Raw genomic sequence first — 13,787 nt, 5'->3', positions numbered from 1 at the left:
GGCAGAGTTTACAGTGAGCTGAGATCATTGCACCCCAGCCTGGGGGATAGAGTAAGACTCCGTCTCAAAAAAAAAAGTTGATGACATGGATGGTGGGTTATTATCTATAAGTAGGATACTGTGATTTTTTTTTTGATTAGGTGTTTTCTGTGGTGAGCCACAAACTAGGTGGCACCAAGATTATCACTGTTTGTATAGTATATAAAATTTTTATTGGCCTACTAATTAACATGTGTTTGAAATATTAAGAAGAGGCAATTAACTCTTGTTAATTGTTGACATGCCAGAACCCTTACAGGAACTTTTTCTCCTTAACTGTTGTTAATTTGATTCTCTTTGTATAATGACTTTCATCTGGTATTATATTTGGTGGTGATCAAAAAACTTTATAACATGTTCAAAGGAAACTTGGCTAGACAAAGAAAAGGTCAGCTGTCCCAAGATGTTTATCTGTCAATGGAATTAAGTGAGAGTAAGGTTTTCCAAGCCAAGTCAGATGAGAAACAATTAGACCACACTTGTCTTACTGCTTCATGTTTTCCAAGATTAATGAAATCATAATTGGGAGCCATTTGTTTAGGTTTCCTCAGTTCCTGCTCCTCTGTTGCCCAGTCCTCTATAATGTGTTAAAATAATGCCAGTGTTACCCCTTCCCACTGTGTGTTTCCTCTCCATATATGCGCTGTAAATTTGGCAGCCTCCTTAAAGATACAGAAGGACTGGCCCTGCACTGTACGTGCATTTAGCAAGTCTGATGATGGTCAGAGTCCACTGCGAGAAGTGGTTTGATGTGAAAATCCCCCCAAATATCTGGTTTCTTGTGACTGACAAACTGCTTTTCCCAGTTGCATGGTGAAATTACCAGCTGTGCCACTGACACATTGGCTGAGTGACAACCTGTAGCTGCTTCCATCCATAAATGAGGTATTTAGTTTAAATGTTATAGCTTCTGTTTCACATTGAGTGAGTTCCGAACAACATCTGTGTCAAAATTAGGCTGCATATTAGCAGTTAGATTGCTTTGAGTTGTTTTGATTCGTCTCCATTTTGGGGGACTCTCAGCAGCTTGAAAATGATTTTTCTTTCTAAGTCGATGCTTTTTCCACTTGGCAAACATTACATTTTTCCTGTCTGCAGAAGCCAGCGTGGCTTTGCCTGTGATTTTTGCTCTCTTGTTTTGCTTTGCCTGCATCACTCTTGAGTTGTCACTGTTCCAGCCCATCACAGGCTCATTTTGGATCTGAGGCTGGTGGGGACTCTTCCTTTCAAGGTGAAAGCCAATGTGTTTTCCCAAGGATAGCTGTGAGGTCACAGTTAAAACAAAAATGAAAGTTGAATGAAAAGGAATTCAGTTGTGAGAGGATAAGAAAAAGGAAAACATGAGGTAAACAAAACTGTTTTTGAAGAAGGGACTGATGTGGTCACAGGCAGTGAGCTCCAGAGACCTGGCCTTATAGATGAGGGTAATGGGAGATGCTGGTGACGAGGTGAGAACAGAGGGTGGGGTGAAGAGAAGGGAAGCCTTTGAAATGACCTTAGATGCATGAATAATTCCTAGAACCAGTCCCAGCTTCACAGACTTTCAGTGCTTATTTTAAAGGATCATGTGAAGCAGGAGCTCTATTTGTATAGCACTTGAAAATCAAGAAAGTGATGTTTCTGTTTAGAATCTTTAAAATCGCTCTTTGACCTGAGGAAAAAATAAAAGAAGGGGGCACAGACAGCACCGATAATTGAATATGTAATGGAGAGCCTCAGAAGGGTGCTGCTCTCCAAGTTAAGTGGGATCATTAAAGTTTTAGAGTTTGTGTAACTAGAGTCAGTAGGGAAGCGTCATGGGAAGTTTTAAAAATTTGAATACAGACTGTGAACTCCTTGAGGAACGGTGAGGTGTATTACTCATCTTGGCAGTGCTAGCACCTATTCTAGAGCGTGGGGCATGTAGGAGTTCAATAAATTTTGAAAGAGTAAATCTGGGTAGGAGAGAGATTAGGAAAGGAGAAGTCAGAGAAGCTATTAAAACCTGATGATGACCATTTACAGCCTTTAGGTGGGCTGGAAAAAGTAGAATAGGAAAAAAACATTGCATAACTGCTCCTTGGTTAACTTTTGCTCCCTCTGAATTAATCGCTGAATTCGTCTAAGGATTTTTTTGATAACATGTTTCTAAAGTGTTAAATATTCTCTTTATCAAAGCACCATAAGAAAATGGCGAAAGTTTCTCATTCACCTTAACCAGAGTACACTTGCTTTATTTCTTTAATTGAAGTGAAATTCACATAACATAAAATTAGCCATTTTACAGTGTACAATTCAGTGGCATTTTAGTACATTCACTATGCTGTGCAACCACCACACACCTTTACAGCATCGAGTTCCAAAACATTTTCATCAATAGTTGCTTTACTTTAATTTCTTGGTGTTGTAGAACCACTTAGAGTTTTGTGGGGTTTTTTGTTTTGTTTTTTTTTTTTGAGACGGAGTTTTGCTCTTGTTGCCCAGGCTGGAGTGCAATGGTGTGATCTTGGCTCACCGTGACCTCTGGATCCTGGGTTCAAGCAATTCTCCTGCCTCAGCCTCCCAAGTAGCTGGGATTACAGGCGTGCACAACCATGCTTGGCTAATTTTGTATCTTTAGTAGAGACAGGGTTTCTCCATGTTGGTCAGGCTGGTCTCAAACTCCTGACCTCAGGCGATCTGCCCGCCTCGGCCTCCCAAAGTGCTGGGATTACAGGAGTGAGCCACTGCGCCTGGCCACCACTTAGCATTTTTTACTTCATTTGGGGGAGAAAAAAAAAAGATTAAAACACAGATAGTGTTTTCTAACAGCCTCTGGAGATCAAAGGCCCTCTCCTTCATGGTCTTTCTAATTCCTTGTTTACCCTGCCCAGAAGTCATTGAGTAGATGTATCTTTTTCAGTTAGCGCTTACTCTTTGATACTTTGCAATTTGATGACTTATTTTTCTCCTTGTATAATTTTTTATCTTTTTTTTTTGAGACTCAGTCTCACTCTGTTGCCCAGGCTGGAGTGCAGTGATATGATCTCGGCTCACTGCAACCTCCGCCTCCCGAGTTCAAGCGATTCTCCTGCCTCAGCCTCCTGAGTAGCGGGATTATAGACGCATGACACCACACCCAGCTAACTTTTGTATTTTTAGTAGAGATGGGGTTTTACCATGTTGGCCAGGCTGGTCTTGAACTCCTGACCTCAGGTGATCCACCCGCCTCGGTCTCAAAAAATGCTAGGATTATAGGCATGAGCCACCACACCCGGCCATGTATCATGGATTTCTTTTTCTAGTGTAAAACATACATGAAGTTAAATCAGCTGTAGAAAGCTTATTGCTGGGATTACAGGCATGCACCACTATGCCCGGCTAATTTTGTATTTTTAGTAGAGACAGGGTTTCTCCATGTTGGTCAGGCTGGTCTCAAACTCCCGACATCAGGTGATCCACCCACCTTGGCCTCCCAAAGTCCTGGGATTACAAGCGTGAGCCACTGTGCCCGGCCAGGTTATCGCTTCTTTACCTGTTAGCATGCAATTTGAAATTCCACTCATACCAGGACAGCATTTTACAGCAGATATAAGCCAAGCGGCTTCTCAACTTCAGTGGTGCCTTTTCCACATAGTCAAAAGGGTTAACTGATTTTCCCTAAGATACATGGGCAAATAATTATTAAAATGTTCTTCAAAAGGACCTTACAATCAAGAATGAGGATAAGTGGAATGAGTAAACACCTTACAAATTTCAAATACTATTATGGCTTACTGCAAAAGCTGTGTTAGCATTATTGGGTGAGGAATGTAAAAGATCCAATCAGAAACAGGTTAGAGAGCTTGAACTGGTATTATACATGCTTAAAAATAGCAAGAAGGTCCCTGCTGATAAGACCTTCAAATTACAGAAAGAACATATTGTGACTGATAATTCTTTTAAGAAATGTGAATACCAGATTTATAAGTTTCACGTGTTTGCAATGTCAAAACTTCCATATTCTGCCATAAAAAGTGAAATCCTGCAGTGGAATCAGCTGTAGAATTGCAAAGGGCAGCAAATTCCATTTGTTAGCAAAATACCATTTTGCATTCTTGGTCTTCCTGAATTCACATTTAAGCCACTTATACAAATCTTTGACACAAGCAATTTTTAAAATATGTTTATGGCTGACAGTTTGTGAAAACAGGTTTGCTTTTGTGGGCTAATCACTTTTCTCTAAAGACAGGTGTCACATGCTTAAATCAGTTGTGTCTACATCTTAAAGTTCCAGATGTTATTTTTCACAAGATTTACTTACACAGTACAGTATTTTGTAGATAAACCTTGTTAGTGGAGGCAGTGCCTGGATTCAGGGAACTTGGTCTGTTGCTGTTTAATTATTCCTAAGCCAATTTGCCTGTTGCAGTTTTTCAAGGAGCCATGATTCATCTCTGTGAAGTCACACAGGGAGAGAAAAATTCCCCACTGGTCACTTCTATTAAAGAACAGAATTGGGAGGGGCTGGAGGTTGGGAGAAGGTAGGGGGTGAATTTCCTGCTCTCTGTGGAAACCAGGTGCAGCTTATATAAGGCAAACTTTCATTCTTAAGGTCATAAAAGAATTCCCCATATTTACCCTTCCTTCCTTCCTTCCGTCCCTTTTTTCTTTTTTCTTTTGTCTTTTTTTCTACTAATTGAGACAGAATCTTGCTCTGTCACCCAGGCTGGAGTGCATTGACATGAGCTCGGCTTACTGCAACATCTGCCTCCTGGGTTCAAGCTATTCTCCTGCCTCAACCTCCCGAGTAGCAGGGATTACAGGAGTGTGCCACCACACCCAGCTAATTTTTTTATTTTCAGTAGAGGCGGGGTTTCACCATGTTGGCCAGGCTGGTCTGAAACTCCTGACCTCAAGTGATCTGCCCTCCTCAGCCTCCCAAAGTGCTGGGATTACAGACCTGAACCACCGCGCCTGGCCACCTCATATTTTCTTTATAGGTTTCATTGAGAATTCATCCTGAATATTTGCTTCCCATTTGATTTCCTATAATTTCCAATCTACTTTTTTTTCTGGTTTGCATCCATTTTACCTCAGTTGTGATACACAAGAAAAAATACCATCCTACAAATCAGGAGGTTTTGGCTTTACTCTCATCTTTGTCAGTAGTTAGGTGTGGTGACTCAAAGCTAATCAGTTAGCTTCTCTGACTTAGCTTCTCCTTCCTATCAAATAGGAGTAATGAGAAGCTCCAAGAGAAGGATCACAGTTGGCAGATGCACTTGCTTTTAACCAAGCCACTCCCTCTGCTGGGAAAGTGATTCCCTGCCATTCAAAACCACTTACTTCTGCTCACCTCCTGCCAGGACATATGATCCTTGGAGCTCCAGTGCCTCATTGGATTTTAGATATTGTAGATCTCAAAAATATATATATGTGCTTGAATTATGATGTCGATGTGGCTATTAGAGTCATTCTGGGGTTCCCCAGGGTTTCCTTAGGGAGCACCTGTCACCCATACACATCCCAAGGGGCCTTCGAGAAGGTGGTTGCCCTTCTATGGCCCTCCCTGATACATGCTCGTGGCCCTCCTCTCTCTTCTGTCTCTTTCCATGCTTTAACTGTTCTTTCTCTTTCTTCCTCTCATCTACACCTCTCCCCTCCATTGGGATCATGTTGAAGCCCCTGTTTCATCTTATCCTTGACATTCTCTCCCACCTGTTTTTGTCACAAAGACCCTAGAGGTTGGCCTGTTTACCTGCACTCCTTTCCAACTGCCCCGATCAGATTATACCGCAGGAATTCTTCTCCTAGGTCTCCCTTAGGTCTACTGGGAAATGAACTTTAATTTTCACCAGTTTTGCCATTTTTTTTTCCTAGCACAGTGACTCTTTGTTTTAAGGCTTTTCCTGCAGTTGACTGTAGGAAGCAGATAGGTGTTAAAAACAGTTAAGCATTGCAGGAGTTAGATGTGTAGGAACTTAGGGATTACTGATGGACTTTATTCAGATGTGAATTGGACAAGGTCTTTCTCAATGCCTTTTGTCTGCTTCAATTATCCCCTTTTTATTTCTAAGACCAGCACTCATCAGGGCCTCCTGCCTTGTCTTTTTTATCAGCCAGTTCTGCAGCAAACTGATGATCCTTGGGCGATAGCAGACACACACATCTTGTCTGATTCACATAGTTGGTCAGTATTGGGACCACATATTTGGTCAAGGTATTTCACACCACACTACACACACACACACACACACACACACACACACACACACACACACACACACACACCCCTTTTGCAAAATTGCAAGGGCTGGTGACTGCAGGATGGATGTTAAGCAGCCCTAAATAGTGACTACCTGTCTAGGCTATCCTCTCTGTGGTCTCTTACCTCTGGTGGTTTCATTTTTGTAGGTTCCCTGACTGGATTGTATTTGTGTGCAGCCTTCAAGCCTTTTTCTGAGGATTTGAGTGGGCAGTAGCAGTGCTGAGGGGTGGCTTGGAGGCCTAATAGATGTTCTTGGGGACTAAATGCATGCCATATAAATGAAGGCAGTGGGCTTATTGCAAACAGTTGTGAGATAAACCTGCTGTCACTGAACCTTCTTCTTTAAAGTCCTGGAGCTGCCATTGCTGTTGTGGCAGAACAGTTCATATTTATCAGATTTAGATCTTGGCAGATTTCTAAATTTATATTTATATCTTGGTGGGTTTCTAAATATAAAAATCAGCATGTGTCTGCATATTCCCTTTCCTCTTTTTATTAGAGCAGTCATATTATTCAATGGTCATTCTCTGATGGAGAAGGCATTTGTACACTTAGAATTACAAACTTACACAGATGATACCTTACCAACAATTTAATTATATACCCTATTTTTAAAGTTTAGATAATAGAACCAAAAGAAGGGAGTGCCTTGTCCAAAGTCTTAGAACTAATAGGAAAGCATGAATAAAAAAAAAACAGTTCTTGTCACTCCCAGCTCCAGGTTCAGCTCTCTGACCACACAACAAATGAGACATCATAGACTCTTCTCTCGAAGGGTATCAGGTGCTGTCTACATGGATAGAGAAAATGGGCTTGGGCAACATGCATACCAGGGTTTAAAATCTAGGTCTGCCACTCTACCATTTGGACAAATTTAGGTGAGCTGTTTATTCTCCATAAACTTCCTTTTCCTCATCTGTAGAACAGGGACCATGATATCTACTTCATAGTCTTGTGTGAACATTCATGCATAAGAAGCCCCCATGGTAGGTTGCTGGATCTTTCTCCTCTTTTGTCATTAAGTTAAATATTCTCTTCCAGAAATCAAGAGGCTAATAAGGAGTTAATAAATGTTTTAAAACTTAGACCACGGAATGTCTACACAATGCCCAGTTTGGATGCTATGGTATTCTGACTGTTTTCATGTTGATTTTCATGCCACAGTGAGCCTCTTCAGGCATGGAAACAACCAAGGATTATTTGCTTCTGTCTTCTTTGTTTTCCAGCCCTCTTATATTTTCATCACAGACTCCATCGCTTCCAAAAACAGTGTGTCAGGATTTACTAATGAATTTCAGCTCTGTCCTGCTGGACCACCATTCAAGGACATCCGTCCAAACCCGCCCCTCTCAAGAAGGGCTTATCCACATGCACCTGATTTACAAACAACCTTAGTTCCCCAGTTTGGTTCCTCATTTTCTTGAGGCTTCTTCTGAGGCTTTTTGTCTTGCACCTTTACTCCATCCAGATCTTGCCCTCCTGTGAACTCCTCTTGAACTTAGAGCTTAGCATTTAATTGTTCTCTAGTCATTTAACTTCTGCTGAATTTTCTCCCTCCCCAAATTAGATTGTGAGTACTTTAAGAGTCAAAAACCAAGCTTTCTGGCTTTATTATCCCTGTGGAGCTTAGCAGTGTGTCAGGTGCTTGGAGAGGTCTTTGATTAATAACTGAATAGTAAGGAACTGGAACACGCTAGTTCTACCAGATGGAAATTAGCAGCACCCAGTCCCAGCTCCCTGCAGATCTCCATCTCTCTCGGTTAAATATCTCGTCCTCAGCTAACACCCTCTGATCCCTCCTGGATCCCACTGAGAGGTGAATGGCATTCACAAGCCCCTTGAACTGCTTCTTGGCTCACCTTTATTACCCTGACTTGCTCCCAACCCACTATCAGGTGTGTTCTGCCCTCTTTGTTATCAAAGAAGGGGGACTTAGGCCTCCCCTATTCTGAGTGCCGTGGCAAGTTTAAAACTGTATAGCGCTCTCTTCAGATTGCAAAGGGTTAGGAATCATAATGAAGCCTTAGGAACTCGAGTCTTTTTCTGCTGCCATTCCATCAACATGCTCACTTAATTCTTAAACAAAATGCTATTCATTGAATTACTTTTTATTTCTTAAGATAGCCTGAAACTATTAATATGGTGCAAGACTTTCTGATGTCATTGCTCTGGGATCATAAAACCTACTTGTCAAAGCTATTCTTTGAAGTTATTTAGCCATAATTTTGTTATAAGCTTTTTATTTACAAATAAAAATTATTTATAAATCAATTTGTAAATAATTGTAATTATAAGTTTACATGTAATTTTAACTATTTGTAGATAATTCAAAAAATTATTTACAAATTTGTTTTTATTTTGTATTGAGTAACTGCTGTGAGCTGAGACTAGAGCTAGGCACCATGGGAAATGGAGATGGCAATTTGTGCTCAGAAGAGTTTGTAATCTAGAATCCAGCCATGGCCCCAAGTCTGAGGCTAAGAAGGAAGGATGATCTGGACTGGGAACAGAATTGACCTGCCTCAGGGTTCCAGACTGAAGCATCAGTGTGATTTTTTAGAGGTGTTTTAAATCACAGGCCCTATTTTGGGGGTGAGAACAGGTTAATTAGCCACTATTCCATTATTCCAGGCTGCACAAACTACATAGTAAAGATTATGGCCTAAGGCTTCAGGATGTCCAACAGAATAGTTCTGAAAGTCAGGGGAAGCAAACGCTCTTCAAAGCGCCCAGAACAAATAGCCCTTTAGGTCAGTTCTTAAATCAATAACAGATCAGTCACCAGAGGAGGAAGTCTGTTTCACAGCCAAACAGTGAACAATGCTGTACTGAAACCCTAAGCTCCCATGGTCTCTGGGGAGTAATTAGAACTTGTTCAGTAATCAGCTAATTTGTATTTCTGGGAATGATTCTAAATAAAAAATGATAAAAGTTGGATAAAGGGTAAACTATAGACCATTGCTTCATAATGGAATTGCATAATTCAAGTGGGGAATCATAAATTTGGAAATGCTGGAAGGGTTTTTTTTTTTTTTTAAGAAAAAAGTGATTTAAAGGCAATGCTAATAAAATAAAAATAACCCATGACTAAAAATATATGCTGAAGCATTTTATCTCACTGGAACCTGAGAACAGTAAAATATCCAAGCTGGAGTCTAGTCTACTAGACTAGTCTAGTTTTCTCACTAGGCCTATAAATTAATTTTGAGACTCTGAAGTAATTGTTTGACCTCTTTTGTCTGCAGAGTCAGTACAGATTTGGGGTGTTGTTTGTTTTAGTTGTTGGCAAAACATTGTAGATATCCAGATCCTGGTTGCTGTATTTTTATTAAAAAGAACAGGAAACTGGCCAGGCACGTTGGCTCACGCCTGTAATCCCAACACTTTGGGAGGCTGAGGAGGGTGGGTCACAAGGTCAGGAGTTTGAGACCAGCCTGGCCAATATGGTGAAACCCCATCTCTACTAAAAATACAAAAAATTAGCTGGGCGTGGTGGTTGGCACCTGTAGTCCCAGCTACTCAGGAGGCTGAGGCAGGAGAATCAGAGGTTGCAGTGAGCCGAGATTGCACCACTGCACTCCAGCCTGGGCGACGGAGCAAGACTCTTGTCTCAAAAAAAAAAAATAAATAAATCAAAACAAGAGCAGGAAACTTATTTCCATCAAAAGAGATGGAGGGCTAGGATAAGTGAATAAACAATAGCTTATGGTTAATTTCAAATACAGCTTGTTACCCTGCACTAGAAAAATGAGACAATTCTATATTTAATTATATATAGCAACTCTAACATTTGTGATGAGAGGAAAAGATTCTTCTGGGTTTTTTTTTATTGTTTCTTTTTTTTTTTTTTAATTGAGACAGTGTCACTGTGGCACAATCTCGGCTCACTGCAACCTCTGCCTCACAGGTTCAAGCAATTCTCCTGCCTCGGCCTCCTGAGTAGCTGGGATTATAGGTGCCTGCCACCACACCCAGCTAACTTTTTTTGTATTATTAGTAGAGAAGGGGTTTCACCTTGTTGGCTAGGCTGGTCTTGAACTCCCAACCTCAGGTGATTCGCCCTCATCGGCCTCCCAAAGTGCTGTGATTACAGGCACGAGCCACCGTGCCTGACCTGTTTTTCATTGTTTCAACAGGACAAATACAAGAAAGACTTGACTGGTATCTCATCAGATTATACTTTTCCTGTGATATCAGTTTTGAACTTATAATTTCTTTCCAGCTCCAAGAGTCTCTGATTCACTGATTCTAACATGACATACTAGGAAATTCTATCAAAGCAGGGGCTCCTGGAACAGGTCCCGTTGACCATGGACCACAGATGTTCTCAAGGAGAAACCCACATATGGTGATAGGGTATATGACTAAACTGCCTGTTTGAGATACACAGCTTTCATGACTACCAAATCTGGCATTTGTGTTTCTCAGTAGCAGATGTGAAGAATGAGTTATTACTTAATGAGCAGCAAAATCTTATTGGACTCCACTGCAGTGCACAGTAGCTCACTCTAATAAGACGAAACAACTGTAAAATAGTTTGTGTGAGTTCAGTTCCGAGTCTACTTCTGACCCAGTTGGATGGTATTATTTCCCCAACCTAGAGATTTCAGGTTACTGTGACATCCACGAAAAGATCCAAATGATATTTAGTAGAAGTTCATATGATGAAATGAGAATTAAACTAAATTTGGTTAAATGTTTTGAGTTTTACTTTTGTATTAGTCCATTTTCATGCTGCCAATAAGGACATATCTGAGACTGCGTAATTTATAAAGAAAAAGAGGTTTAATGGACTCACAGTTCCATGTAGCTGGGGAGGCCTCTCAATCATGGTAGAAGGCAAAAGGCACGTTTTACATGGCAGCAGACAAGAGAGAATGAGAGTCAAGCCAAAGGGGAAACCCCTTATAAAATCATCAGATCTTGTGAGACTTACTACCACGAGAACAATATGGGGGAAACCACCCCCTTGATTCAGTTATCTCCCACTGGGTCCCTCCCACAACACATGGGAATTATAGGAGCTACAATTCAAGATGAGATTTGGGTGGGGACATAGCCAAGCCATATCAACTTTTCATCACTTTAAGTCATTAAAAATACAAATTAAAACACTTAGTCACATATAGTTTTTAGATTCTAATAATAAAGAATAATGAATCTTAATCCTGTTCTATATGGAAGTCTCTGCAGGCTGCTATAACACAGTATCATAAACTGGGTGCTTATTAACAATAGAAATTTATTTTTCGGCTGGGCACGGCGGCTCACACCTGTAATCCCAGCACTTTGGGAGGCCGAGGTGGGCAGATCACAAGGTCAGGAGATCGAGGCCACGGTGAAACCCCATCTCTACTAAAAATACAAGAAAAATTAGCCAGGTGCTGTGGCGGGCGCCTGTAGTCCCAGCTACTCAGGAGGCTGAGGCAGGAGAATGGCGTGAACCCAGGAGGTGGAGCTTGCAGTGAGCTGAGATCACACCACTATACTCCAGCCTGGGCGACAGAGTGAGACTCTGTCTCAAAAAAAAAAAAAGAAAGAAAGAAATTTATTTCTCACAGTCCTGGAGTCTGGGAAGTCCACAGTTAAGGCGTCATCCCATTTGATGTCTGGTGAGAGTCCACTCTCTGGTTCATAGACAGTGGTCTTCTCACTGTACTCTTAAATGGTAGAAGGGATGAGGGAACATTCTAGGGTCTCTTTTATAAGGCACTACTCCTATTCCATGAGGGTCCCACCCTTATGACCTAATCATCTCCCAAAAGCCCATCTGCTAATATCATCACCGTGGAGGTGAGGATTTCAAGGATGAATTTTGGAAGGTCACAGATATTCAGTCCATAGCAGGAAGTAATTGGGATCTTCAGGTTTCTAGGCTAATCTAGATGCCTTCCTATTTATCATTCTTTTCTTGAGTTGACTTTCTGATTATAGTGAGGCCAGGTCAACACACAGTATTCTAAATATATGGTCAGGATGGTTTCTTCTGACTTTATTCAATATCTTTATTTGTATAATGAAGAACTTTGGTTGTTCTTATTTCTGCTATGCTCTGTTAGAATTGGAATTTTATCTTCCAAATCTTTAGAACTTTTTACTAAATATGGAATGATATTCTGGCTTTTTTTTCCTCTTCTAGTCAAGAACTATCTTTTCTTTGTAGAATTTAGGAATGGCAAAAGGAACTAATTCATTTTTGTGGTATTTTCTAAATCCGTAATACACAAATGAGTAGGCACATGGCTGATAGAAATATCAGTATACAATAGCTTATAGCTTCTTTCTTTTTTAATACAAAATATAAAGGGCATTTTCACCATCAAAAATTTCCTGAATTCACCTATAACCAATTTCTACAATCTCTTTTGCCATTTAAGCCAAAGTGAGGTTTTATCTTTATCATTGATAGACAACTTGATTGTGTCTATATCAATGATAAAGATGGCTGAATTTCAGCTTTATACTTTAGTGAGTGTAATATATTGGATTTTATACTACAAAACAGACTAAGATACTTGGGAGCAGAGAATGGAGGTGGTTGAGGACAAATCTAGGCTGAGTCCTATGTTTCTAACTTGGGCAAATGAGTCAAACTTCAGCTGCATTTGGAAGTAGGGATGTCCATTGGATGTACTGTCAGAACTCAGAGAGCAATCTGAGCTATAAACATTGATTTGGCAATAGTTGAAGAGGAAAATTATTTGAGAAGCTATAAATGTTAGGAGGAGCTTTCTTATGTAAAGTTTGTTCCAGAAGATAAAGTTGAAAGGTTTGGGAGGATGGATCTAGGAGGAAGAAACACAGGACCAGTATGACAATGAGGGGACATGAGAGAATTGTTTATTAGAGGCACTAACTATAAAAAGTCTAATATTTTTTCCTCTGTGAATGTTGGAGGCTCATTCATGGATCATAGTTAAAACCCCAAATTTATCATTGCTATCTGTAATTATTTGGGTTAATAATTTCAAATGCCTGTTAAAGTCTAGAAACTATAATTCCTCTTAGCTTTTAATTTTGAAATCATGTTAAACTTACACAAAAGTTGCAAAAATAGTAGAGAATTCTTATGTGCTTTTTACTCAGCTCCCACTAATGTTAACATATTATATAATCATAGGTACAGTTATCAAAGCCAAGATATTAATGCTGGTATAATACTATTAACTAAATTACAGACTTTATTACCAGTCTTTCCACCATTGTTCTTTTTCTGTTCCACATCCAATCCAGAATCCACATTATATTTAGTTGTTAGATCTCCTTAGTCTCCTCCAACCTGTGATAGTTCCTCAGTCTTGCCTTATCTTTCATGACTGTTACATGTTTGATGAATACTGATCAATTATTTTGCATACAGAGAATACAATTGTATGATCAAATAATGGGATTTATTCTTTCTCTATTTCTGAATGGAACTTTGGGTTTTATAAGAGTGTATTTTGTGTTTGTCAAAACCCTGGTGACTGGTCAAAATCCATTTCAGCACAACACAATTATTGTGACTTCTTTGTGTTGCTTGGAAATTCCTCCTTCCTTC

At 40.1% G+C, this 13,787-nt stretch overlaps 1 protein-coding gene across 5 annotated transcripts in view; it reads left to right on the top strand.

Annotated features, from left to right (window-relative positions):
• The window catches only part of ALG14 (ALG14 UDP-N-acetylglucosaminyltransferase subunit), a 98,547-nt gene that overhangs the window by 49,739 nt on the left and 35,021 nt on the right, over positions 1 to 13,787 (top strand). Inside the window, exon 4 of one of the 5 annotated variants that reach the window (XM_005270582.5) lies at positions 846 to 5,964. The exons of the other annotated variants lie outside the window; for them this stretch is intronic. Within the exon in view, the coding sequence (XP_005270639.1) occupies positions 846 to 893 (48 nt within the window). The 3' untranslated portion in view covers positions 894 to 5,964. Of the gene's footprint in view, positions 1 to 845; positions 5,965 to 13,787 lie in introns of those variants that run through there. 5 annotated transcript variants of the gene reach the window in all.

Source organism: Homo sapiens, chromosome 1 (assembly GCF_000001405.40).
Source record: "Homo sapiens chromosome 1, GRCh38.p14 Primary Assembly".
In the NCBI taxonomy this organism is placed as follows: Eukaryota; Metazoa; Chordata; class Mammalia; order Primates; family Hominidae; genus Homo; species Homo sapiens.
The sequence above is the reverse complement of the archived record's forward strand: the minus strand, read 5'-3'. Positions and strand labels throughout refer to the sequence as shown.